This window comes from Homo sapiens, chromosome 10 (assembly GCF_000001405.40).
Source record: "Homo sapiens chromosome 10, GRCh38.p14 Primary Assembly".
NCBI classification, from domain to species: Eukaryota; Metazoa; Chordata; class Mammalia; order Primates; family Hominidae; genus Homo; species Homo sapiens.
The window spans coordinates 68,953,628-68,981,203 of NC_000010.11; the positions used below are offsets into that span (position 1 = coordinate 68,953,628).

General features: G+C 42.2%; 1 protein-coding gene across 3 annotated transcripts in view, besides 4 other annotated features; it reads left to right on the forward strand.

Annotated features, from left to right (window-relative positions):
- Positions 1,863-2,112: an enhancer, noted in NCBI's record as "active region_3472". NCBI's record gives its function as "activates an Ori minimal core promoter by ATAC-STARR-seq in GM12878 lymphoblastoid cells {active_cell/tissue: GM12878}" and the evidence as "EXISTENCE:reporter gene assay evidence [ECO:0000049][PMID:35858748]".
- Positions 2,520-3,301: an enhancer, noted in NCBI's record as "NANOG-H3K27ac-H3K4me1 hESC enhancer chr10:70715903-70716684 (GRCh37/hg19 assembly coordinates)". NCBI's record gives its function as "activates a minimal SCP1, AML or CMV promoter by ChIP-STARR-seq in naive and primed H9 embryonic stem cells {active_cell/tissue: H9 hESC(naive and primed)}" and the evidence as "EXISTENCE:reporter gene assay evidence [ECO:0000049][PMID:30033119]".
- The window catches only part of DDX21 (DExD-box helicase 21), a 28,899-nt gene continuing 3,865 nt past the window's right edge, over positions 2,543-27,576 (forward strand). Inside the window, exons 1-13 of one of the 3 annotated variants that reach the window (NM_004728.4) lie at positions 2,543-2,685; positions 6,179-6,622; positions 8,455-8,530; positions 9,664-9,842; positions 11,750-11,867; positions 13,391-13,576; positions 15,349-15,494; positions 16,574-16,723; positions 18,264-18,425; positions 19,918-20,037; positions 21,043-21,116; positions 23,902-24,061; positions 25,215-25,349. In NM_004728.4, coding sequence (NP_004719.2) covers positions 2,599-2,685; positions 6,179-6,622; positions 8,455-8,530; positions 9,664-9,842; positions 11,750-11,867; positions 13,391-13,576; positions 15,349-15,494; positions 16,574-16,723; positions 18,264-18,425; positions 19,918-20,037; positions 21,043-21,116; positions 23,902-24,061; positions 25,215-25,349 — 2,037 coding nt within the window. In that variant the 5' untranslated portion in view covers positions 2,543-2,598. Of the gene's footprint in view, positions 2,686-3,019; positions 3,122-6,178; positions 6,623-8,454; positions 8,531-9,663; positions 9,843-11,749; positions 11,868-13,390; positions 13,577-15,348; positions 15,495-16,573; positions 16,724-18,263; positions 18,426-19,917; positions 20,038-21,042; positions 21,117-23,901; positions 24,062-25,214; positions 25,350-27,576 lie in introns of those variants that run through there. The other 2 variants (NM_001256910.2, NM_001410932.1) reach the window with 2 other exon arrangements.
- Positions 3,302-4,082: an enhancer, noted in NCBI's record as "H3K27ac hESC enhancer chr10:70716685-70717465 (GRCh37/hg19 assembly coordinates)". NCBI's record gives its function as "activates a minimal SCP1, AML or CMV promoter by ChIP-STARR-seq in primed H9 embryonic stem cells {active_cell/tissue: H9 hESC(primed)}" and the evidence as "EXISTENCE:reporter gene assay evidence [ECO:0000049][PMID:30033119]".
- Positions 3,423-3,682: an enhancer, noted in NCBI's record as "active region_3473". NCBI's record gives its function as "activates an Ori minimal core promoter by ATAC-STARR-seq in GM12878 lymphoblastoid cells {active_cell/tissue: GM12878}" and the evidence as "EXISTENCE:reporter gene assay evidence [ECO:0000049][PMID:35858748]".

Sequence of the window (27,576 nt, forward strand, 5' to 3'; positions counted from 1 at the left end):
GGCACTGTCTGAAATTTTGAGGACACAAAGATGAATAAATCAAGGCTCCTGGCTCAGGGATATCAGAATATAAGTTAAAGCACTGTTGCACATTTTCACAAATTGTTAAAAAAATTTGAGACCATGGCTGGGCGTGGTGGCTCACACCTGTAATCCCAGCCCTTTGGGAGGCCAAGGCAGGTGGACCACCTGAGGTCAGGAGTTCGAGACCAGCCTGGCTAAGATGGTGAAACCTTGTCTCTACTAAAAATAGAAAAATTAGCCGGGTGTGGGGGCAGGCGCCTGTAATCCCAGCTACTGAGGAGGCTGAGGCAGGAGAATTGCTTGAACCTGGGAGGCGGAGGTTGCAGTGAGCTGAGATCGCGCCACTGCACTCCAGCCTGGGCAACAGAGTGAGACTCTGTCTCAAAAAAAAAAAAAAAAAAATTGAGACCACGAAACATCAAATAATAGTTTAGGTGAAACAAAATTTTTCCTTGAAACTCTCAGATTAAAAAATGTGCAGTAGACCAGGCACAGTGGCTCGAGCCTATAATCCCAGCACTTTGGGAGGCCGAGGCGGGAGGATCGTGAGGTCAGGAGATCGAGACCATCCTGGCTAACACGGTGAAACCCCGTCTCTACTAAAAATACAAAAAATTAGCCGGGTGTGGTGGTGGGCGCCTGTAGTCCCAGCTACTTGGGAGGCTGAGGCAGGAGAATGGCGTGAACCCGGGAGGCAGAGCTTGCAGTGAGCTGAGATCACGCCACTGCACTCCAGCCTGGGCCACAGAGTGAGACTGTCTCCAAAAAAAAAAAAAGTGCAGTAATCAGAAATACAGAAATACTTTTCCAGCATTTTCCTTTATCATAAAATGTAATATTTTAAATTGTGTTTTCAAATCCTTGTGACACACTAAGTTTTAATAGTTTTCATTGATTGTGCTCTGTGTGTCAGGCACTGCCAGACCATTTTCTGCCATTATCTTATTTAATTTTCTCAATTGATGAAGTAGGTTTTGTTATCCTCATTTCATACAAGGGAAACTTGGGTTCAGATAAGGTAATGTTTCCAAAAATAACAGAGCAGACTGGGTATGGTGGCTCCTGCCTGTAATCCCAGTACTTTGGGAGGCGGAGGTGGGAAGATCACTTGAGCTCAGGAGTTCAAAACCAGCCTGGGCAACATGGCAAAACTCCGTCTCTACAAAAAAAAAAAAAATTAAAAAATTAGCCAGGCAGGGTGGCACATGCCTGTAGTCCCAGCTACTCGGGAGACTGAGGTGGGAGGATCGTTTGACTCTGGGAGGTCGAGGCTGCAATGAGCCATGATCACGCCATTACACTCCACTCCAGCCTGGGCAACAGAGGGAGAACCTGTCTCAAAAAAATGAAATAGATAAAGACTGGGCGCTGTGGCTCATGCCTATAGTCCCAGCACTTTGGAACGCTGAGGCGGATGGGTGGATAACCTGAAGTCAGGAGTTCGAGACCAGCCTGGTGAAGATGGTGAAGCCCCATCTCTACTAAAAATACAAAAATTAGCTGGGTGTCGTGGTGCAGGCCTGTAATCCCAGCTACTCGGGAGGCTGAAGGATGAGAATCGCTGGAGGCAGAGGTTGCAATGAGCTGAGATAGCGCCACTTCATCCAGCTTGGGCAACAGAGCGAGACTCCGTCTCAAAAAAACAAAAAGGCCGATTTTCAATGTCAGATATTATTCTATCCCATTTTTGAAATTTATTTTTTCTTTTATATATATGAAATATTTTATTTATATATTATATATGTGTGTGTATATATAGATATATAGACATAGGGGTTTTGCTGTGTCGCCAGGGCTAGTCTTTAAGTCCTGGCTTCTTTGGAGGCTGAGGCAGGAGATTCGCTTGAGCTCGGGAGGCAGAGGTTGCAGTGAGCCCAGGTCACGCCATGGCACTCTCCAGTCTGGATGACAGAGCGAGACTCTGTCTCAAACCCACAAGACCTCTCTCTCCCGCTAGTCTATAAAGCTTCTTGACGATAAGGCTTTTGTGCTTGTTAGTGAATACTAGTCCTGTTTCTCCTACCTGACACAGTGAACGCTCATAAGATGTTTGAGTGCTCGCATGAATGAACGACCAGACCCGACTGAATTATTTTTTTTCTTCAGGCTCCTGAGTCTGGTCGACACTTTCAGAGTAGACGTTTCCAAGAGATGATTAAGGACACACATCCGCGCGTCTGTACGTGCAAACTCGAGCAATACAACATAAAGCACTGAAGATGGCGCCACTCAAAAGCAACTAGAAGCCTTCATTTATCAGGCTGGGGCTAGGGAAAATCTGGCCAGTGTTGAAGAATACAAAGCTAACCTTTGCAATTCCTTGCGGTTCTACCGTTCCGTAGGTGCCTTCTAGACCAAGGGCCGCAAGTGGTCAATTCACTAAATCCAACCACAGTCACAGGCCGCTGCTTTGAATTTACCACGCGGAAAGCAGCTTTTCCTGTGCTTCCTGCTTCCCCCGGAAGTGCCTTGCTACGGGAAGTGACGAGAGCCGGGTGGACCCAGGGTGGGGAACTACCTCTTCCTCTCCACGCGGTTGAGAAGACCGGTCGGCCTGGGCAACCTGCGCTGAAGATGCCGGGAAAACTCCGTAGTGACGCTGGTTTGGAATCAGACACCGCAATGAAAAAAGGGGAGACACTGCGAAAGCAAACCGAGGAGGTGAAACGGAGGGACCTGGGGCCAGGAGGGACGCTGAATGGAGCGGAACCCCGGGGTGCGGGAGAAGTGCCCGGGCTGGGATCGTGGGAGCGCGCGGCGGATAACAGCGCGTCCAGACACCGGGCGTGGGTCTTGGCGGGCGGTCGCCCAGGAGTGGTGCGCTCCCCGGGCAGTGGACGCGTCGTTTGCCCGACCGAGCCAGGTCCGCCGTGCGCTGACCTCTTCCTCTGAGCTTATAGGCATCCACAGGTCGGAACTCTGGTAGAGAGGCCCTGTTGGAGCTCGGGAGAGGGCCGGGTGTCCCACGTGGTCCCCGGCGACTTGGGCGCGCCTCACACAGTGCGCAGAGTTGGACCTTCAGTCAGGCTCCACGTTGTTGGCTAAGACAGAACTCCCGGCATGAGCGTGCGCGAAGGAAGTTACACGTCAAGTCAAAGTGGGTACTGGAGGCCGGGTGCGGTGGCTCACGCCTGTAATCCCAACACTTTGGGAGGCCGAGGCGGGCGGATCATGAGGTCAGGAGTTCGAGACCAGCCTGGCCAACATAGTGAAATCCCGTCTCGACTAAAAAATACAAAAATTAGCCGGGCATGGTGGCGCGCGCCTGTAGTCCCAGCTACTCGGGAGGCTGAGGCAGGAGAATTGCTTGAACCCGGGAGGCGGAGGTTGTGGTGAGCCGAGATCGCGCCACTGCACGTCAGCCTGGGCAACAGAGCGAAACTCCATCTCAAAAAAAAAAAAAATGTGGGCACTGGAGCTTTAGAGTAGACTGGAGAGGTCTTAACTTCATCTGCGCACGTGGGCCGCGTCTTTAGTGACTTTTTAAACTCTCGTAAGGGAAGTAGAGTTTGTTTTCCGGTAAGCCGCCCTGAGAAGATGACGTAATTCAGTTATTACGAAAATCTGTTTTACAACTGTTTGACCCACATGAGTTGACTGGATTTCCCATGGAAATGTAAAGGCATGTGTTGCGGTGCTGAGTGTACACCATATTTTTTATATAGGCCAGCAGTGTGCAGTAGTTTTAACCTTGATAGCTGACCGGTGCTTTGCTGTTGCTTCCTAGTGATTTAACTTGTGACTGAGTCTCTGTTCTGAGATCAAGTCAGTGGGAACAAAGATTGTCCTTGAACTTAGGTTGTACGCTACTTAGAATTAACTTTCCTTGTTGGTTTCTCTGTCTTTTGATATGGAGTTCTTACAATAGCAATATTTTAGAATTGTAGGAAGCCGCGGCAGATTTGTACTCAGGTGCAAGAAGGTCGTGGTCCTGGTTTACATTGCATCAGTCAATTGCGTTCAATTTGGCATGCTCAAATCCAGAGGTACATGACCAAACTCTGTTATATTCCAAAAGAGACCACCAGGATGGGAAACTCAGTCTTATTTGGTGGAACCAAGGGATGAAAACGAATAAAATTTTGGAAGGAGACTAGCTTGTTTTTTGTTGGCTAGGAGATTATTCTTAATCTATGATTTGAGAACAGAGACCAGGCCTGAAATTTCCGGGAGGCAGAATTCAGCGTAATATGTACTTCCAACATTGTTCTGGGGCTCTGCCAGAACAGGCTTCTAAGGAGGCTACAACACATGTCTAATTGTTTTCAGTAGTATGAAAAGTTGTAGAGGGTCAGAAAGTTCAAATAGGAGCCACAGTCATCTGTCTTACTTGGTTCTAAGGTGTCACTCCTTCCATATTCTTGTAACTTATTTATTTTATTTTAAATTAAGTACATCTTTTTTACACATGAGTGATAGACTGTGAGTTTTTATAACTTTTTGTTTCATAAAGTGTCTCTTTATTTTATTATTATTATTTTTTGAGATGGAGTTTTGCTGTCGTTGCCCAGGCTTGTTCTCCATGTTGGTCAGGTTGGTTTCAAACTCCCAGCCTCAGGTGATCCGCCCACCTCGGCCTCCCAAAGTGCTGGGATTACAGGTGTGAGCCACTGCATCCTGCCCTTTTATTTTTTGTAGAGACAGAGTCTTACTGTCACCCAAGCTAGAGTGCAGTGGCATGATTATAGCTGACTGCAGTCTTGAATTCCTGGGCTCAAGCAATCCTCCCACCTCAGCCTCCTAAGTAGCTAGGAGTATAGGTGTGCTGCTACACCTGGCTAATTAAAAAAAAAATTTTTTTTTTTGAGACAGTCTTGCTGTGTCGCCCAGGCTGGAGTGCAGTGGCATGATCTCAGCTCACTGCAACCCCCGCCTCCCGGGTTCAAGCAGTTCTCCTGCCTCAGCCTCCCGAGTAGCTGGGACTACAGGTGCGTGCCACCATGCCTGGCTAATTTTTTTGTACTTTTAGTAGAGATGAGATTTCACTGTGTTAGCCAGGATGGTCTCCTTCTCCTGACCTCGTGATTCGCCCTCCTTGGCCTCCCAAAGTCCTGAGATTATAGGCATGAGCCACCGCGCCCAGCCTAAATTTTAAACTTTTTCAATAGAGACGGGGTCTCGCTATATTGTCCATGCTTGCCTGGAACTGCTGGCCTCAAACAATCCTCCTGCCTTGGCCTCCCAGAGTGCTGAGATTACAGGCATGAACCACTGCACCTGGCCCTAAACTGTCTTTGTATAAATTCATTTGCTCTTGTAAGATAGGCAAAGTGCAGAATTCCTGTTTTGGAGTTAGAGGCTGCAGTGAGCTATGATCATGCCTCTGTACCACAACCTGGGTGAAAAAGTGAAATTGTCTCTTAAAAAAACAAAAAAAATCCCTGTTGTTTTACCTGGGATTTTAGCAGGAAGAAAGAAAAGAAACCTGCTTAACATCATCAATCTGTAGATACATTTGCCTTATTCTATTGGAATTGAATTTGGACTTTTTATAGTATTGAGTTTGGAGCCTGTTGGAGTATCCCATGAGCTTATCCAAATCCCTTATGAAAATCTGGTTTATAGGCCAAGCACGGTGGCTCATGTAATCCTAGCAGTTTGGGAGGCCGGAGTGGGTGGGTTGCCTGAGCTCAGGAGTTTGAGACCAGCCTGGGCAACATGGGAAAACCCCACCTCTACTAAAAATACAAAAATTCGCTGGGTGTGGTGGTGGGCGCCTGTAGTCCCAGGTACTCGGGAGGCTGAGGCATGAGAATAACTTGAACTCAGGAGTGGAGGTTTCAGTGAGCTGAGATTGTGCCACTTCACTACAGCCTGGGCGACAGAGCGAGACTCTGTCTCAAAAAAGAAAATCTGTTTTACAACTGTTTGACCCACATGAGTTGAATAGTTACTAAGGGGCACTCTTCATTTTCCAAGATAGTGAAACTATTGATATATACCCGTCTATATATATAGCTAAGAAGCGATTTTAGAAAAAGCTTACTATTTTGATTTTTACCTTATCACAGCATGAAAGTACAAATGTCGAAATGCCCCAAAATTGTATTTTTTAAAGTTGAAAATGATCTTGAAATAATCCAGAATTGATGAATGTTGCAAATGTATAAATGCCTTATTCAGTGTTTGTATTTTCCTTATGAATTTTTTTTAGAAAGAGAAAAAAGAGAAGCCAAAATCTGATAAGACTGAAGAGATAGCAGAAGAGGAAGAAACTGTTTTCCCCAAAGCTAAACAAGTTAAAAAGAAAGCAGAGCCTTCTGAAGTTGACATGAATTCTCCTAAATCCAAAAAGGCAAAAAAGAAAGAGGAGCCATCTCAAAATGACATTTCTCCTAAAACCAAAAGTTTGAGAAAGAAAAAGGAGCCCATTGAAAAGAAAGTGGTTTCTTCTAAAACCAAAAAAGTGACAAAAAATGAGGAGCCTTCTGAGGAAGAAATAGATGCTCCTAAGCCCAAGAAGATGAAGAAAGAAAAGGAAATGAATGGAGAAACTAGAGAGAAAAGCCCCAAACTGAAGAATGGATTTCCTCATCCTGAACCGGACTGTAACCCCAGTGAAGCTGCCAGTGAAGAAAGTAACAGTGAGATAGAGCAGGTACATTTGCACTTCATTGGGTAGAAGATATCTTTCATTGTTGTTTCAGATAAATAAGTAGGTAACTGCTATATGTACTCTTTAATAGTAGGAGAAAATGTGATGTGTCAGCACCTTGTGGGTTGGGGGATACCTTAGGCTGACTGGGACTTCATCTTAAAAATTAGCATACGACAGGGCATGGTGGCTCAGCTAAGAGTACTCTGTCTTTTTTATTTTTTTATTTTTTTGAGACAGAGTCTCGCTCTGTCACCTAGGCTGGAGTACAGTGGCACGATCTCAGCTCACTGCAACCTCTGCCTCCTGGGTTCAAGTGATTCTCCTACCTTAGCCTCCTCAGTAGGTGGGATTACGGGTGTGTGCTATCACGCCTGGCTAATTTTTTGTATTTTTAGTAGAGGCGGGCTTTCACCATGTTGGCCAGGCTGGTCTCGAACTCCCAACCCCAGGTGATCTGCCCGCCTGGGCCTCCCAAAGTGTTGGGATTACAGGCATGAGCTACTGTTCCCAGCGGACTCTGTCTTTAAAAAAAAAAAAAAAAAAATTAGCATAGTGTCACAATGCCTCCTTTACAAATAAGCAGATACTGCTTAAGCTTAGGGAGAGTCTTGGTCTGCTTATTTGCAAGTCAGTCAACAGAAGAGATACAGTTTTGTAAATGGGCCCTAGTTTCCCTCTGAGGGGTTTAACCAAATAAATTATTGGAATTACTGAAAAGGTTGATTGCATAAGTCCTTTTGGTTAGGCCATTAAGTAATCATCCTGGAGTTGAACAGGATGATAAAATGTCTGTCCAGAACCTAATTCTGTTATCTTTCAGAAACTCAGTTATGAAAGAAATACGAATTGTATTAAAAAAATTTGTTTTAGACATGGGATCTCGCTGTGTGGCCCAGGCTGGTCTAGAACTTGTGGCTTCAAGCGATAATCCCGCCTAAGCCTCCCGAGTAGCTGGGATTACAGGCACAAGCCACCACACCCAGCTGAAAAATACTAATTCTAATAGATTTTCTTTTTGCTATAGATCATGGTCAACATTTGTAACTTTTTTCCTGATTATAAAAAATATGTGATCCAGAGAAAATAGAAAATGCAGACATTTTGCAAAAAGAAAGAAATGCTTCCTGGAATTTCACCATTCATTTAGTAAATATTAATACCTGTACTTTTCAAGTACAGAAGTCATCTTGTTAATTTTTGGTGTTTCCTTGTAGTACTTTTAGTATATGCATCTATTATTTTTAATCAGATTAGGATTGTACTGTGCAATCTTGTATCTTTTTTGTTTCTAGCTAAGCATTTTCCTCGTTAAGTACGCTTAATGGTTACATAATCCTTCATATAAATGTCTTGAAATCTACTTACTACTTGTATTGAGCATTCAGATATCTTACTATCAAATAATGCCACAGTGACTGCTACCTCATAAAATGTTTGTTCATTTTCTATGGATGTGTGTATACAAGAGATGCTGCTTTGGAAGAGGGCTAATGACATTTCCATCAGTATATTGTTGATTATGGTTATGGAGTAGATCTTAGTTGAGATCTAGTCACACATAATCTTAGTTGAGATCTTAGTTGAGATCTAGTTACCCAGTATATATTTGCCTCAGATTTTTCTTTTGTTAAAGTTTTATAGATTTATGACAATGTTTCCTTTTCAGATCTCGAGTTACCTATCAAGGTTTTTGTATCTTTTTGGTTGATTTTTAAAGTGATGTGTTTAGAAGAATTGCTTTAGGATAGCTTGTTTTGTCTCTTTCTCAGAAGGTTCTCTATTAATTTGTGTAGGTGATTATTGATTTCTTTCTATGGCCCTTTACTTGATAGGAAATACCTGTGGAACAAAAAGAAGGCGCTTTCTCTAATTTTCCCATATCTGAAGAAACTATTAAACTTCTCAAAGGTAATGTTCTTGGAAATATCGTATGATGTTAGAACGTATTATTTTAACAGAAGCACTCCACTATTTTTGTTAAGATGAACCAGGATGTATTCTTATTGTAGGCTGATATATGCAGTCATATAATGAAGTAGGCCTGTGTATTCAATTTAGTACTATAGTAGTGATGGTTCTTCATGCTTCTTAAACAAGTGGTTAAAGCTTTTTCAGGCCCTCTGTGGTGGCTCACACCTGTAATTGATTGAGGCCAGGAGTTTGAGATCTTCCTGGGTAACATAGTGAGAACCTGTCCCGACAAAAAGTTTAAAAATTAGCTGGGCACGTGGTAACACACATCTATAGTCCTAACTACTCCAGAGGCTGAGGAAGGAAGATCGCTTGAGCCCAGGAGTTCAAGGCTTCAGTGAACTGTGGTCACACCACTGCACGCCAGCCTGGGTGACAGAATGAAACCCTGTCTCAAAAAAAATTGTATTTAATACAGTGTGTATTCAGAAGTGTATTGACTAATGGTGCTGGTGAAATTAAGCAATTAGGTGATGCCATATTAATGTTTTATCTCTTTCACTTCTGAGGCATCTCTAGATTAATGAGCCTAATTTATAGGCATAAACCCAGAATTCATTTAATAATCTGCTTCTGAAGTAGCTGGAGTCACAGTTACTCAAGTAGGTGCTTCCTAAATCAGGAGCAGCACAGTTGGATTGCAAAGCACCAGATTTTCAGGCTTATGGATGAGACTTCAAATATTTACTATAATTGGATGCTTTAAAGTTTGTTGATATTTTTCAGTCAAGCAGATTCTTTACTATCAGAATATTTCTGAGCCAGGTATGATGGCTTGCACCTGTAATCCCAGCTGTCCATCAGGCTGAGGCAGGAGGATCACTTGAGCCCAGGAGTTCAAGGCTGCAAGTGAGTTATGATCACACCACTGTACTCCAGCATGGGCGACAAAGCAAGACCTTGTCTCTTAAAAAATATACGTATTTGAGCCTAACTTTGTAGATGTTGACCAGAAGGTAGAATTCCTTAATTCTGCAGGACCAGAAGCATGAGTAGTATACTTCAGTATGTCAGTATGGCTAATGTTTTAAGAATTGCAGTGTGAGATAACACAGTTAATTTGTTCATAGGCCGAGGAGTGACCTTCCTATTTCCTATACAAGCAAAGACATTCCATCATGTTTACAGCGGGAAGGACTTAATTGCACAGGCACGGACAGGAACTGGGAAGACATTCTCCTTTGCCATCCCTTTGATTGAGAAACTTCATGGGGAACTGCAAGACAGGAAGAGAGGCCGTGCCCCTCAGGTAACTGTCTTAAATACAAGGGCTCTCAGTCAGCATAGGAAAAACCACCACTTGGGCATTGTGTACATACCCTACTATTTTTTATTGAGTTCTTATAGTCACCCATTCTATTTACTGTGGATCTTTATGTGAAAGTAATCCAGGACAATTCTTTTATATTTAATAATTAATATATACAGATCATTCTCTGTATATTTCAATATTTTAATCTTTCCCACAGTTTTGATCATCTATATAATTAATGCTATCATATTTCCTTCAAACCATTAGATGTCCCTGGGGCTCATAGCTTTCGTCAAGTGTCTGACCATTTTTGCCTAGATGGAGAAAGCATTTTTGGTAGAAAAGCATGAATGGGCGGTGGCTCACACCTGTAATCCCAGCACTTTGGGAGCCCGAGGTGGGCGGATCACGAGGTCAGGAGATCGAGACCATCCTGGCTAACAACATGAAAGCCCATCTCTAATAAAAATACAAAAAATTAGCCGGGCGTGGTGGCGGGCGCGTGTAGTCCCAACTACTTGGGAGGCTGAGGCAGGAGAATGGCGTGAATCCAGGAGGCGGAGCTTGCAGTGAGCCGAGATGCACCACTGCACTCCAGCCTGGGCGATAGAGCAAGACTCCGTCTCAAGAAAAAAAAAAAAAAAAAAAGAAAAGCATGAATGGAAAGAAGGGCAAGTCAGAGGTGAAAACGCCAAGCCCCCATATTAGGGTGAGTCCATTGGGTTCATTTCTAGAGAACTTGACATTTAACAAACATTAACCTCATTGAAATGACTGCGAATGCCCATGTAGTCACTTTGGCTGTGGGTTCTTGCAGTTGTCTTTCTGGCCTAACCTCACTTGCTCACTGGCCTTCCAGTGTCCATGCTCCCCCTTTGTTAATTTGTTTACTGCTATATCCCTAGCACATTTTAGATGAATGTATTAGGTGTTCTTGAATCATATTAGTTTCATACCATTACCCTATTTTTGAGGACCTGTAGCAGTTCAAGCAATTCTCCTGCCTTAGCCTCCCAAGTAGCTGGGATTACAGGCGTGTACCACCATGCCTGGCTAATTTTGTATTTTTAGTAGAGATGGGGTTTCACCATGTTGGCCAGGCTGGTCTGGAACTCCTGACGTCAAGTGATCCACCCACCTCAGCCTCCCAAAGTGCTGGAATTATAGGCTTGAGCCACTGCACCTGGACTTTTTTTTTTTTTTTTTTTTGAGACAAAGTCTCGCTTTGTCGCCCAGGTTGGAGTGCGGTGGTGCAATCTTAACCTCTGCCTCGCAGGTTTAAGTGATCCTCCCGCCTCAACATCCCAAGTAGTTGGGATTACAAGTGTGAGCCACCACGCCTGGCTCATTTGTATTTTTAGTAGAGATAGACTTTCACCATGTTGGCCAGGCTGGTCTTGAACTCCTGACCACCCACCTTGGCCTCCCAAAGTGCTAGGATTATAGGCATGAGCCATTGCGCCTGGCCAGCAGTTTCATGTTTTATATATATATAGATCAAATTCATATTGCTCTAGGATTCAAAGCCCCTTACATTGTTGGCTCTACCTTACTTCTCTGATTTTGTTCTGCTTCAAATTTTCTCTACTGTAGAGGTTAAGACTATAGGTTTTGGATCCCAATTGCTTGAAGGCTCTGCTCCTTCTTAGCCTTTGGGGTTTAGTCAAGTTATTTATCCTCTAATACCTAGCTCAAAAGGTTGCAAGAATTGAATCAGAATAATATATATAAAGAATTTAGTAGAGTCTCAGATCTATTAGACAAAAATATTAGATAATGTTATCGTCATCATCAGCGTTAGACCTTGTTCAAGTCGTTCTTTTCCTGGAATGCTGTTCTTTAAGGACTAGATTAAGAAACAAATACTACACAGTAATTTGAATTCAATTATTTTTCTTTATCAGGTACTGGTTCTTGCACCTACAAGAGAGTTGGCAAATCAAGTAAGCAAAGACTTCAGTGACATCACAAAAAAGCTGTCAGTGGCTTGTTTTTATGGTGGAACTCCCTATGGAGGTCAATGTGAGTACATTCAAAAAGTGAGGGAGGTATAATGCCACCCATTGTTGACTGCTCTGATTGGATTTCTTTTCACCTTGACATCTGGCTTCTCTATATAGGATAGTCGTTTATGGGGATTTTCTTTTGCCATTGTTTAAACATGGTCAAGAACATGGTCCTGCTTGATGATAGGCAAATCCTGTATATCGTTCTTAGGACTTTTATCTATTTATATTTATCTAGGGGCTACAAAAGTAATTTATTATTGAACCCAAAAAGACAGTCCATTTGGGCTCTAGGAAATAGGAAGTCAGAATTCAAGGTTCCTCTTGTCTGTCAGGACCTTGGGTCTGTCCCTCTTTCTGCATGGTTGCTTCTTTCTTGATGTAGGCAGGCTTTCTTTCCTTGGGGCTCAAGGGCCAAATGTTAGTCTCTACTCTTATATTCCATTACTTCCCAGTTCAAGGCCTTGGAGCTTTATTATTAGAGCAGATGTATAAATTAGGAAGGGATTTAAGGAATTTAAAAAAATCATAGTTTTGGCCAGGCGCAGTGGCTCACGCCTGTAATCCCAGCACTTTGGGAGGCTGAGGCGGGCAGATCACAAGGGCAGGAGATCGAGACCATCCTGGCTAACACGGTAAAACCCCGTCTCTACTAAAAATACAAAAAATTAGCCGGGCGTGGTGGCAGGCACCTGTAGTCCCAGCTACTCGGGAGGCTGAGGCAGGAGAGTGGCGTGAACCTGGGAGGCTCCCACGCCCGGCTAATTTTTGTATTTTTAGTAGAGACAGGGTTTCACCATATCGGCCAGGCTGATCTCGAACTCCTGACCTCATGATCTGCCAGCCTCAGTCTCCCAAAGTGCTGGGATTACAGGCGTGAGCCACCGTGCCCAGCCGGAAGTAATTTCTTTCCTGATGCTATTGTCCTCCAGTAGTGCATATTTCTTTCTTTCTTTTTCATTTATTTATTTATTTATTTGGTGAGACAGAGTCTCACTCTGTGGCCCAGGCTGGAGTGCAGTGGCGTGATCTTGGCTCACTGCAACCTCTGTTGCCCAGGTTCAAGCGATTCTCCTGCCTCAGCCTCCCGAGTAGCTGGGATTACAGGCGCCCACCACTGCGCCTGGTTAATTTTTGTAGTTTTAGTAAAGATGGTGTTTCACCATGTTGGCCAGGCTGGTCTTAAACTCCTGATCTCATGATCCACCCACCTTGGCCTCCCAAAGTGCTGGGATTACAGGCGTGACCCACCACGCCCGGCTGCATATTTCTTTTATGTCACTTTGTACACTAGACTGTCACTTCAAATATTTACTATAATTGGGTGCTTTAAATTTTGTTGATATTTTTCACTTCTAATGTTTTTCCCACTAGATTAGGAGTGCCATGAGTATCTTTATCATTATTACTTAGCATATTACTTTGTACTTGTAGGTATTTAACAAATATTTTAGAGTAACAATACAGTTAACTGTGGTACCCCACACAGATAAAAGTACTTACTAAAAACCCAGCAAATCTTGTCATTGTTTTTTATAGTTGAACGCATGAGGAATGGGATTGATATCCTGGTTGGAACACCAGGTCGTATCAAAGACCACATACAGAATGGCAAACTAGATCTCACCAAACTTAAGCATGTTGTCCTGGATGAAGTGGACCAGATGTTGGATATGGGATTTGCTGATCAAGTGGAAGAGATTTTAAGTGTGGCATACAAGAAAGGTAATCCACAAATTCAAGAAGCTGATAAAAAAGACCAAAGGAAGGGTGGTAACTCTGTCTCCTGGGTTCAAGTGACTCTCATGCCTCAGCCACCCTAGTAACTGGGATTACAGGCACCCACCACCACGCCTGGCCTCGTATTTTTAGTAGAGATGGGGTTTTGCCATATTGCCCAGGCTGGTCTCAAACTCCCAGCCCCAGGTGATCCGACTGCCTCACCCTCCCAAAGTGCTGGGATTAGAGGCATGAGCCACTGCGCCTGGCCTGGTGACTAAGTAGTTTTCTAAGAGATTAATAAAGCCTTGGGAAATTGGAATGGGGCTCATTTTATCTAGAAACTTGGATTAAAAAAAAAAAGTCATTACTCTGGGATTAAAGCTGGTGAGGAAAAAAAAAGTCATGATTTATCATATTACCACAATGGGGAAAACTTGGAAAAGTAAAGAAAAATACCATCTTCTGTCATCTTGATGTGGTCTGCTTTTGGTGTATTCCTGATGTTTTGCATTTTATTGTATATATGTGTTGATTATACTCTGACTATACATATAAAAATTCAGCAAAAATACTGTATGAAGTGGTTGGCCATGACTTAATTCTACCATCTGCCTAGTTTGATTTTTATTCAATATAAATAGTTCTGTTTAGCCACTTTTATACAGATAGCTTCTCACCTCAATATCTGGAATTGTTTTTTGTTTTTTTTTTTGAGACAGGGTCTAAATCTGTCACCCAGGCTGGAGTGCAGTGGTGGGATCTTGGCTCATTGCAGCCTCCACCTTCCAGGTTGAAGCAATCCTCCGAGTAGCTGGGACTATAGATGTGCGCCACCATGCCCAGCTAATTTTTCTGTTTTTTGTAGAGCTGGGTTTCACCATGCTGGTCTTGAACTCTTGGACTCAAGTGATCTTCCCTCCCACTTTGGCCTCCCAGAATGCTGGGATTACAGATGTGCTCTACCGCGGCCGCCCTTTTTTTATTTTTAAGATAGGCCCTCACCCTGTCACTCAGGCTATAGTACAGTGGCACCATCATAGCTCACTGCATCCCTAAACTCCTGGGCCTCAGCTTCCTGAGTAGCTTAGGGCTACAGGCGTGCGCCACCATGCCTGGCTAATGTTTTTATTATTGATAGAGACAGGGTCTCACTGTGTTGCCCAGGCTTGTCTTGATTCCTGGCCTCAAGTGATCCTCCTGCCTCCACCTCTGAAAGCATTGGAATTACAGGCATGAGCCACTGTGCCTGGCCTGGAATTGGTTCTTTAGGATAGATTTCCAGAAGTGGAATTACTGAGCTTAAAAGTGTAAAAAATTCATGCTCCTCAATATACATTGTCAAATTCTCTCCAGAAGGGTTCTATCACACTTCTATTTGGAATGTTTGAGAATGTGATGTCACTCTTAAGTAGAATTGAACAAACAAAAATAGTAGCTGGACTCAATGATTGGACAAGAATTCTAAATTCATAAAATATTGAGAATAGAAATCTTAGAATAGATTTCGTTTGTAATTCAAAAGCCTAATGGTCAGAAAGCAAAATAACTTTAAAGTACTTTCACTATTTTAAGGATCTTTTAGATAAATTACCTAGCGGTATTTCTTTGCCCATTGGGAAACCTCTGTCTTCCAGTTTTGTGTCCTCAGTGCCCGACTTGGCCTCAGGTGGTTGCTGGTGAACATTGATGGACTGTGGAAGTATTAGGTTAGGTGGAATACTATGTAGGCTTGTTTGGATTATTCATACTGACTTTTTTTTTCCCCCTCCTCAAAGATTCTGAAGACAATCCCCAAACATTGCTTTTTTCTGCAACTTGCCCTCATTGGGTATTTAATGTTGCCAAGAAATACATGAAATCTACATATGAACAGGTGGACCTGATTGGTAAAAAGACTCAGAAAACGGCAATAACTGTGGAGGTAAATTATTTACTTAGTTGCCAGAATATAAAATTGTATATATTTTTTTCTTGTCTGTTAGTATTAAGACTGGCAAATGCTCTTTTTCCAGATAAATACTAAATCCATGTGAAAAGCCAAGGAAAAATATTTCTATTTGAGCTGTATATGATATCTGTGTTTTTATTTTTATTTTTTGAGATGGAGTCTCGCTCTGTCACCAGGCTGGAGTGCAGTGGCGCAATCTCCGTTCACTGCAACCTCCACCTCCCAGGTTCAAGTGATTCTCCTGCCTCAGCCTCCTGAGTGGCTGGGACTACAGGCATGCGCTACCACGCCCAGCTAATTTTTGTATTTTTAGTAGAGACAGGGTTTCACCATGTTGGCCAGGATAGTCTCAATCTCTTGACCTCGTGATCTGCCCATCTCGGCCTCCCAAAGTGCTGGGATTACAGGTGTGAGCCACCACGCCCGGCCCGATATCTGTGTTTTTAAAATTTCATCATCTATGGCCTCATTTCATTTCAGAATGATTTGGAACTTAAATCTATCTGAGTTATGTAAACATAAATCACACTTAAAATTTAAACATTAGAGGGCAGCAGAGAAATCTAGTGCTTTGTGTTTAAGCTTAAAAGTGTTGAAGTTTAAAATTTCACCTTTGATTCTGATAATCTAGATGAATTAATTTCACTGAGGAACAGACCTGTATATTAATCTACTACAGATTGGGTTTTTAAGTAAATGAAAAGGCAAAACATACAGAAATTTGTTGGTTATTTGGTTTCCTGTAGAAAGCTAGGGAGTGGCATTTCCTTTCCTGCATTTTCCTGGTTGTCAGAAAATAAAGAAGTTAGATGCTCTTTAGAGAAAGGGGAGAGGCATGGGGAGATGGGCAGATCATGTTGCTTTCTGCTTTACTGGCTTATTTAGGTTTTTTTCTGTCAGTGGTGGCTGCAGACAGCTCTTATCAGGCTTGAGTAGTTGTTTCCAGGAGCAAGACATTAGAACATTAGTGTTGTGCTCACTGATCATTGTGTTGTGATTTTAGTTTCCAGCAAAGCTTTACTAAATAGATGTTTTTTTTCTTCTTACATAAGCATCTGGCTATTAAGTGCCACTGGACTCAGAGGGCAGCAGTTATTGGGGATGTCATCCGAGTATATAGTGGTCATCAAGGACGCACTATCATCTTTTGTGAAACCAAGAAAGAAGCCCAGGAGCTGTCCCAGAATTCAGCTATAAAGCAGGTTGGTCCTTCCCCTTATGCCAGCAAAACTGGGGATATCAACAAATCTTCACCTTGGGCATATCTGCTCTTGGTCTGATTTTCATTCATTCAGTGAATACCAGTTTAGTTTAGTTTAGAAATGAGAGGAAGCTACTTTTTTTTTTTTTTTTTTAATTGAGGCAGAGTCTCATTCTGTTACCCAGGCTGGAGTGCAGTGGTGTGATCTGGGCTCTCTGCCTCCTGAGTTCAAGTGATTCTCCCACCTCAGTCTCCCGAGTAGCTGGGATTACAAGTGAGCACCACCATTCCTGGTTAATTTTGTTTTTTCTTTATTTTTTTGAGAGGGGGTCTCGCTTCTTCGCCCAGGCTGGACTGCAATGGTGTGATCTTGGCTCACTGAAACCTCCGCTTCTTGGGTTCAAGCAGTTCTCCTGCCTCAGCCTCCCAAGTAGCTGCGATTACAGGCACGTGCCAGCATGCCCAGCTAATTTTTGTATTTTTAGTAGAGATGGGGTTTCACCGTGTTGGCCGGGTTGGTCTCGAACTCCTGACCTCAAGTGATCCACCTGCCTCGGCCACTCAGAATGCTGGGATTATAGGCATGAGCCACTGCGCCCAGCCTAATTTTTTTTTTTTTTTTTTTTTTTTTTTTGGAGACAGGGTCTCACTCCCTTTGCCCAGGCTGAAGTGAAGTGCATTGGCGTGGTCTCGGATCACTGTAGCCTCAACCTCCAGGTAGCATGCACCACCATACCTGGCTTTTTTTTTCTGGATGGTGTTTTATTATTGATATAATTCATGTGCCACATATTATCATTTTAAAGTGTACAGTTCAGTGGCTTTTAGCATAATCATGAGGTTGTGCCACAGTCACCACTATCTAATTGGGAAGACTTTTTTTATCTTCAACTTTTAGGTTCAGGGGTACATGTGAGGATGTACAGGTTTGTTACATAGCTAAATGTATGCCAAGGTGGTTTGCTGCACAGATCATCCCATAACCTAGGTATTAAGCCCAGCATTTATTAGCAGGATTAGCTATTCTCCTACCCACCCCCAACTAATTTTATTTTTTTAAATTTTTTTTCTATTTTTAGTAGAGACCGAGTCTTGCCATATTGCCCAGGCTGGTCTCAAACCCCAGCCTCAAGCAGTCTGCCTGTCTGGGCCTCCCAAAGTGCATGAGCTACTGCACCTGGCCTCACTTCTTTCTAATGATCAGAGGGTACATGTTAGAACTCACTTAATCTGTCATGGCATCTCATCACACAAATGAGGAAAGGGTGGCTCAGACCTAAGGTTACACTGATAAAATAGGTTTGATCACTCTTGTCTCATTCTCAACTTCAATAAGTAAAGTTGGATACAGTTGGAATTGATAACTGAGGATTTGGAAATAATATTGAGGCTTATCCATTCAAGACACATTTTCCCCTTTGTAATGTTTTCAACAGGCATGTCACCAAAATATGAATGTCTTTTACAGGCCTAACTGATGAAGAGAAAAAGTACTTGTATTGTTGGAACTGGTGTTCTTACATCCGTTTATTTATTGGCAGGATGCTCAGTCCTTGCATGGAGACATTCCACAGAAGCAAAGGGAAATCACCCTGAAAGGTTTTAGAAATGGTAGTTTTGGAGTTTTGGTGGCAACCAATGTTGCTGCACGTGGGTTAGACATCCCTGAGGTTGATTTGGTTATACAAAGCTCTCCACCAAAGGTATGTGCTTTATGCTTAGATTTTATTTTGTTTTGTTTTTTTTGGGTATTAAAACAAATTGGAAATTGTATTATTTACTTTCATGTCATTAGTATATAGCTATCTTTTGAGTGCTGGGATGCTAAGGGTGATTTTGAGAATGAACCTGTTATCAGACACCCCCCTCAGAACTGACACTTGAGTAGAAGTGCAGTCAGCAGACAGAGGTTCAAAAGGTGACTTGGGGATATAGTGTGATTTTTGAGCCAAACCTTGAAGATGGGTGGAAGGACTGAGATGGGATAGGGGTAAGTAAGGTAGATAAATGCATGAGCCTAGAGGACAGGGGAGAGAAAGGGCCTGTAATTAACCTCTGTGGTTAGAGATGCTTAGGTTTGTGAGTTATAGGAACCTCTCAAGGAGGACCCTGAATCATAGTTTACTTGATGTGGATAGTTCTTCACGTAAATAAAGGTTGTTCCAAAGGTATTCCAATCACTTCCAACATGAGGACCCCAAAATCTCACCCAAATTGGCAAATCCCCCATGGTTAAAGGCTGCTTACAACAATGGGGAAAAATAACTGAAGACTATGAATTCACCAATTCTTAAAAAGGAAGTCCCATGAGTGTGTGGTATAAACATTGTTTCACGAGCCTTTAGACTTTTTGATATGGTAGCCACTAGCTGTGTTGAGCACTTGAAATGTAGGTGGTCTGAATTGATCTGTGTACTGCAAGTGTAAAATACATACTGCCTAACTTTTTATTATGCGGTCTGGATTTTGAAGACTTACGAAAAAATACAAAATATTGCATTGGTACCCTGGTTTGTATAGATAGTATATTGAAATGATAAGACTTGGATATTCTGACAGGCGTGGTGGCTCATGTCTGTAATCCCAGCACCTTGGGCGGCTGAGGCAAACGAATCACTTAAGGTCAGGAGTTCGAGACCAGCCTGGCCAATATGGTGAAACTCTGTGAAACCCTGTCTATACTAAAAATACAAAAATTAGCCAGGCCTGGTGTCAGGTGCCTGTTGTCCCAGCTACTTGGGAGGCTGAGACAGCAAGATCACTTGAACCCGGTAGGCGGAGGTTGCAGTGAGCTGAGATCATGCCACTGCACTCCAGCCTGAGTGACAGAGTGAGACTCTGTCTCAAAAGAAAAAAAAAAGACTAGATATATTGAGTTAAAATACATTAAGCTTCTTAAAGAAATCTTTTCAGTCTGTCTACTGGAAGACTGAAAATTGGAATTACATATATGCCTCTAATGGACAAGCACTATTTAGACAATGCTCTTTGTAAATTTGCCTGCAGGACAGGGACCATTGTTCTAGAAGCTTTAAAAATTGCCAGAGGTCTTTAAATTGAAGTGCTAAGGGACCTTCTCCCTCATGTCCCCAGGTTTATAACCACAATTGCTAGTGTTCACTGACCTGCATAGGCTACTCAGGTGTTTGTCTCTCTTTTTTGGTTTAGTGTTACTCATGTATTTTACTTCAATAGGATGTAGAGTCCTACATTCATCGATCCGGGCGGACAGGCAGAGCTGGAAGGACGGGGGTGTGCATCTGCTTTTATCAGCACAAGGAAGAATATCAGTTAGTACAAGTGGAGCAAAAAGCGGTAAAACTATTCTTACCTTTCATTAAGCAAATGTTGAGTTCTAAAGTCAGTCTTTGGTTTCTTCAATTTTTATCCACTTTAAAATATTTTTATTTCTAGTGTGTGGCAATGACTGAAAGCTTATTGTTAGGTACATATGTTGTCCTGTGATAAAAGGCCCATTCTGAAGTAACTTTGCATTTGAAAACAGTGATTTTGTTTTCATATGTTTGAAAGGAAGTTTTCAGACAATGATAAATATGAACCAGAGATAATTAAGATTGAGGGGCTGTAGGAATTGCTTGAAAATCAAATGAATGAGGGTATGTCAAAAGGATAAAGGGGAGAAGAGACTAATTTTTCCTCCAGGAGAATTGGAATAGTGTATGTAGATTCTTGCCCCTTCAGGAGCTTCACTCGTCTCCTTCCTCTTGAGTGGACTGCACTTAGGGACTTGCTTTCAAAGAATAGAGTAAGGTGGGGAGTGAGGACTTTACCGAGGAGAGATGAACAAACACTACCTGGGCCAGTTGATCGTGGGTCACATCATTAGTGATAGGCACATAGCCATGTGCCCCTGATAAGAGGTGGTAAGGCGAGCATTCACTTCGGGTATTCCTCCCCCAAATATGTAACCCTGAGCATGAGGAAAACACAAGACAACCTCAAACTGAGGGACATTCTACAAAACTGTTGACCAGCACTCCTTAAAACTGTCAAAGTCATGAAAAACAAGGAAAGAAGGAAAGACAGACATGGAATAAAGTCTGGGGTTTGATTAATAGTTTAGCCATGTTGGTTTCTTAGTTGAAACAAATATACATTAACAGTGTAAGATGTTAATAATAGCAGAAACCTGGAGCTCTCTGTACTGTCTTTGTAGCTTTTCTGTAAGTCTAAAATTAAAAGTTCATTTTTTAATGTAATACATACATTTGGCCTATATTAAAAAATTAGGGGACTGCTTATCTTATTGGAAACAATTGATGGCCACTGTACATTAAACTGTGGTTCATTTTCCTGTAGGGAATTAAGTTCAAACGAATAGGTGTTCCTTCTGCAACAGAAATAATAAAAGCTTCCAGCAAAGATGCCATCAGGTATGTTCCCTACCACTGCTATGGTCTGTTTTAGTGTTGGTTCAAATACTGCATGTCTTTGTACAGTAATAAGATTTGACTTAAAAAAATTTTTTTTTTAAAATTTTTGAGACAGGGTCTCACTATGTTGCCCAGGCTGGTCTCAACTCCTGGTCTCAAGCAGTCCTCCCAGCTCAGCCTCCCAAAGTGCTAAGATTACAGGTGTGAGCCAGCATGCACAGCCTATTCTTTTTAACTGATAACCTGTTTATCAAAAAAAAACCAGACCGTGCTGAAGTAGAATTTCACAAAGTGGATACCCTCGTTTCTACTCATTCCTGTCCTATCCTGTTTACCAGAGGAAACCACTATTAAAATAGTTTGCTTTGTCTAGGATATTTTAAGGGATAATATCTTAGGTATAGTATAGGTGCTTCTCACCCACTGGCTGATTAGACCACAGATTACATTCCAAATCTACATTAATCCAGTTCCTTCCCTGGTAGGATGAAAGTTGATTGCTTCGTTAATAGTAAATGTCTAGATGGTGAGGATTAGGTTAATTAACAGTTTGTCAAATGGAGGTGCTGCTGGCATTGGAGGCAAGAGAATTATTTTTTATGGGATTGTCCTGCAAATGGAAGGATATTTAGCTGCTTAGGATCCGTGGCTGATTCCCCTGTGCCACATACTCAGGGTAAGTAGGGTTGGCATTATAAAAACCAGAAACCATTTTCCAGATGCCTCCTGATGGTGACCTATGTTCTCTGTTAAAGAACCACTGAGTTTGGGCATCATTTTTATAGTAGTTTTCACAATTACTGTAAATGCTTATTTAAAAAACAGACACAGGGAGTCCATGATCAAAGGAAATCCTGGATGTCAATCAGCATATTAATAGTTCAGGAAAGTTTTGTTAATGAAAGAGTTTTGGGCCAGGCATGGTGGCTCATGCCTGTAATCCCAGCACTTTGGGAGGCTGGGGTAGGCGGATTGCCTGGGCAACACGGTGAAACTCCATCTCTATAAAAAATACAAAAATTAGGCCGGGTGCGGTGGCTCACACCTGTAATCCCAGCACTTTGGGAGGCCAAGGCGGGTGGATTACCTGAGGTCAGGAGTTCAAGACCAGCTGGCTAACATGGAAAAAACCCATTTCTACTAAAAATACAAAAAAATAGCCAGGCGTGGTTGCGCACGCCTATAATCCCAGGTACTTGGGAGGCTGAGGCAGGAGAATCACTTGAACCCGAGAGGTGGAGGTTGCAGTGGGCCGAGATCACACCATTGCACCCCAGCTAGGACAACAAGAGCAAAACTCTGTCTCAAAAAAAAAAAAAAAATACAAAAATACAAAAATTAGATGTGGTAGCAAGTGCCTGTAGTCCCAGCTACTCTGGAGGCTGAGATGGGAGGATTGCATGAGCCCAGGAGGTTGAGGCTGCAGTGAGCTGTGGTTGTGCTAATGTACTCCACCCTGGGTGGCAGAGTGAGACTATCTCAAAAAAAAGAAAGAGGGAAGGAAGGAAGAAAGAAGACAGGGAAGGGAGGAAAGGAAGGATGAGTGTATTTTTTTTTTTTTTGAGACAGAGTCTTGCTCTGTTGCCCAGGCTGGAGTGGAGTGGTGCAATCTCATCTCACTGCAAGCTCTGCCTCCCTGGTTCACGCCATTCTCCTGCCTCAGCCTTCCGAGTAGCTGGGACTACAGGCACCTGCCACCACGCCCAGCTAATTTTTTGTATTTTTAGTAGAGACGGGGTTTCACCGTGTTAGCCAGGATGGTCTCAATCTCCTGACCTCATGATCCGCCCGCCTTGGCCTCCCAAAGTGCTGGGATTATAGGCGTGAGCCACCACACCCAGCCTGGAAGAGTGTATTTTAACTGCATTTTTCAAATTTATTTTAGCATGGCATGTTTTTTTAAGTGTCCTACAGACAGGGTTCCCTTGGGTGCCAGTTAAGGAGAGTTGGGGTTAGATGGCCAAGAAGGGGAATGGGACAAAGATGCTGGTGGTATACAACAAACAGCCTCCAGCGTGCCAGCCCTGACACGGCTGCATGTCACTTTCTCCCCTTTTTACTGGATGATCTTTTTCAACTTTGAATGGGACATTTATTATTGCCAAGATAATAGTGACCCCCTTAAGAATGTACAAATAGTCCCATAAAGGTCCTTATCATTTTTTAAACTGACTTTGGAGGTCTTTTTCTTATTTCTTTTATTTTCTTTTTTTTTTAAAGAGACGGAGTTTCTTAAAATGATTGTGTGTGGCACAGTCATAGCTCACTGCAATCCTCCCACCTCAGCCTCCCAAGTAGCTGGGACTACAGGCATGTGCCACCACACCCAGCTTTTTTTTTTAAACTTCAGAATGGAAATAGGTTTTTTCTGATCCTAAAAGTAACACATGCTTCTTGTATAAAAACTCTTGACATAATTCATCATCACATCTAATGGTAGTATGACATTTTATTATGTCTGTTTTGTGGCTTATATAAGCAGCCCAAATGATGCACATTTTAAAATTGTTTGTACTTTTTGTGTATTATAAGTAACACCGTGGTGAACTTCTTGTTTTATTATTTCCTTAGGATAAAATGGTGGGGTAGGTGATAAATTAGAATTACATACAGTCAAAGGAATGGATTTATTACTATAGAAATATGATTATTATATACTGCATCAAAAATAAATATGTTACACATGTGAAAGATTTGGAAAGTTACTCATTTATCTTGAGATGTCTTAGAAATGAAATGTGTCCACTTCTAGTATCCTTTCTCCTAACACACTCTCAAACAACAGGCTTTTGGATTCCGTGCCTCCCACTGCCATTAGTCACTTCAAACAATCAGCTGAGAAGCTGATAGAGGAGAAGGGAGCTGTGGAAGCTCTGGCAGCAGCACTGGCCCATATTTCAGGTGCCACGTCCGTAGACCAGCGCTCCTTGATCAACTCAAATGTGGTAAGGTTCTGCAGCACATTCCTGACACTTCATAATTTGGGGTATGAGCAGGATATGAAAGGGTTTCATTTAAGCTTCCCAGTTGTTTTCATTTTCTCATGAAGTTAGTAAAGTATTAATTGTATTTTACAATTTCTGGCCAGACACAGTGGCTCATGCCTGTAATCCCAGCCCTTTGGGAGGCACAGGCAGGAGGATGGCTTGAGCCTACAAGTTTGAGATCAGCCTGGGCAACCTAGTGATACTCTGTCTCTACAAAAAAATAAAAAAAAAAAAAATTAGCTGGGCGTGGTGACATGCTGTGGTCCCAGCTACCTGGGAGGCTGGGATGGGAGGAGGGAGGATTACCTGAGCTCAGGAGGTTGAGGCTGCAGAGATCCATGATGGTGCCACTGCACTCCAGCCTGGGTGACAGAGTGAGACTCTGTCTCAGAAAAGAAAAGAACCAATAATTCCCATGTTTAAACACACACACACATACATGCAAATCCATAGAGGCAGAAAATATGAGTGGTCCTGACTGGCTGTGTGGAGGGAGGAATGGCAGTGGCTAGTAATGGATGCAGGATTCTTTTGGGTGGATTATGCCATGTTCTGAAATTTTAGATAGTGCTGAATGGTTGCAGATCTTACAAATATACTAAAACAAACAAAAAAAACACTGGATTATATACTTTCAAATGGTGAATTTTGTGGTATGTGATTTTTAATTGTTTTAATCCTAAAGTAGCCCAAACATATATATGCGCATAAATGCATATAATACATTTAGCCAGCATACCTAGAAACTTTAGAAGGTGTATGCTTTTCTTTTCCTGTAAATTCAAATTTTTATTGAGATAATTGTAGATTTACATGTAGCTGTAAGAAATAATACAGAGAGATCCTTTGTATACTCTGCTCAGCTTCCCTAAATGGCAATATTTTGGAAAACTATAATACCACAACCAAGATATTGACATTGGTACAATCAACCAGTCTTACTCAGAGTTCCCCAAGTAAAACGAGGGACTGTTCGTACTAATTGTTTGTGTGAGATGTATGTTTTTAGGAATAACTTTTCAAGAAATATTTTAGAATCACAAAAGCAGGTATTTATCAATTAGGTTTATTTTCAGCACTTTAATTTTATTCTCCTTTCTTGTGTTGTAAGGGTTTTGTGACCATGATCTTGCAGTGCTCAATTGAAATGCCAAATATTAGTTATGCTTGGAAAGAACTTAAAGAGCAGCTGGGCGAGGAGATTGATTCCAAAGTGAAGGGAATGGTTTTTCTCAAAGGAAAGCTGGTAAGGCTGGGGTCTCTGTTGTAACCTTGATGGGGCTTTATGTGGGCAGGAAAACAGTGTGGTGTGGGTTCTTCCTGTTCTGTGGGGATGCTGCATCTCTTCACTCTCTCATCTTCCCTGGGTAATCTCATCCGTGATCCTCAGATGCCACTCTGCCACTGACAACTACTGTACCTCTATCTCCAGCCTGAACCGTTCTCACAATGCCAGACTTGATCCAGCTGCTTCCCTGACATCTCTACCTAAATAGCTTATTTAAAGTAACTTTTTCAGAATCTTTTTTTTTCTTAGCAATGCTATTCTAGCACTGGACTTATTCAGAATCTTGAATTCAAATTAAAAATGAAAAAATTTGCCTCCCAAACCTGGTGTTCTTTCTTCTGAGGCCTTCTCTTTGTTTATGCCATAGACTATCACAAGGATTCTCAAACATTTTGGTTTCACAATCCCTTTAGCAAATGTTAGGGACCCCCAAAAGCTTTTGTTTACATGGGTTATATCTATTGATACTTACTGTATTAGAAATTAAAACTGGAACTCTAAAACACAATATCATGTTCCATTAGTCATCAGAGCAATGATTTTATCACGTCATATATGTCTAGGAAACTCCACTGTACCCTTGAGGGAATGAGTGTGGAAAGGGCAACATTATTATGAAAATAATTTTGACTTGGCGAAGCCCCTAAAAGATCTCAGGTTTCCAGGTTTCCATTGGCCTAGTGAACTAATCGGATTTATCTTCAACTTATTGCATGTCTAGCCATGTTGTTATCTCCTTAAGCAACTCCACAAAACTTGTGGGATAAAGTCTCAACCCTTTCATAGGAGGATAAGATCCTTCATGTCCTGGCCTCTGCTAACCTTACAGCTTAATTTCTACCTCATTGCTACCAACACCATTTACTCCAGCAGTGCCCAGTACACCATGCTTTATCTCATCCTCAGTGCATGCTGAACCTACTATTTATAGTAATCTTTCGGCTGGGCCCCGTGGCTCATGCCTGTAATCTCAGCACTTTGGGAGGCTGAGGTGGACGGATCACCTGAGGTCGGGAGTTTGAGACCAGCCTGACCAACATGGAGAAAACCTGTCTGTACTAAAAATACAAAATTAGCCGAGGATAATGGCGCATGCCTGTAATCCCAGCTACTCAGGAGGCTGAGGCAGGAGAATCACTTGAACCCGGGTGGCAGAGGTTGCGGTGAGCCGAGATCGCGCCATTACACTCCAGCTTGGGCAACAAGAGTGAAACTCCGTCTTAAAAAAAAAATTTTATATATATATAAATCTTTTCCTCCAAAGTAGCTTTTATGACTTTGCTTAGCCTTAAATCTTACCAGGCAATGTTAGGGGCGTCTTTATCTGTACTTCAGAGTCTTTAGGACACATGTTTATGCAGGTAAACTTTTACCTTGCTGTGTTTGCTAATGGAGAGCCTCAAGAACACTCAAAGGCAAAAACTGTTTTCTAATTACCTCTATACCCAGTGAATGCCTGGGATTATACTCTACTTCGTAAATATGTAAGCGAAGATTCCCATGAATGGCAAAATCCACCAGTAGGTGATGATACCTATGTTATGATTGGGTAAATTTTGGGGTGAAAGGGGTGTTCCTTATAAAATATTGCAGTTGAAGACAGCAGGGAGAGGAGTGCCTGTATTAGTTAACACATAGTTTGACTATATTTTTAGACGATTTCCTTGATTGGAGAGGATGGCACTTAATATTAAAGATGGTGTCCTGGCTAGGTGCCATGGCTCACACCTGTAATCTCAGTATTTTGGGAGGCTGAGCTGGGAAGATAATTCTTGAGACCAGCCTGGGTAATGTAGTGAGACCCTGTCTCTACCAAAAAAAAAAAAAAAAAAAAGCCAGATGTAGTGGCATGCACCTGTAGGAATTCAAAGTTACAGTGAGTTGTTAATTGCACCACTGCACTCCAGCCTAGGCAGTAGAGCAAGACCCTATCTTAAGAGGGAAAAAAAAAAGATGGTGTCCTGTATTATTTTTTTCATACTCTTACAGAAGGCTGAATTAAGAAAAACCAGAAAATCAACAATAGAAGATCACTTGTTTTTCTGCTTTTAATTAGGTCATTCTGAATAGCTGGCATTGCTTTTCTGATGGAAGGCAGTATATAGTTTAGACTATAGGTTTTAGAGCCATACAGACTAGATTTTAAATACTTGTGCCATTTAATAGCTGTGGGGCCTTAGACAAG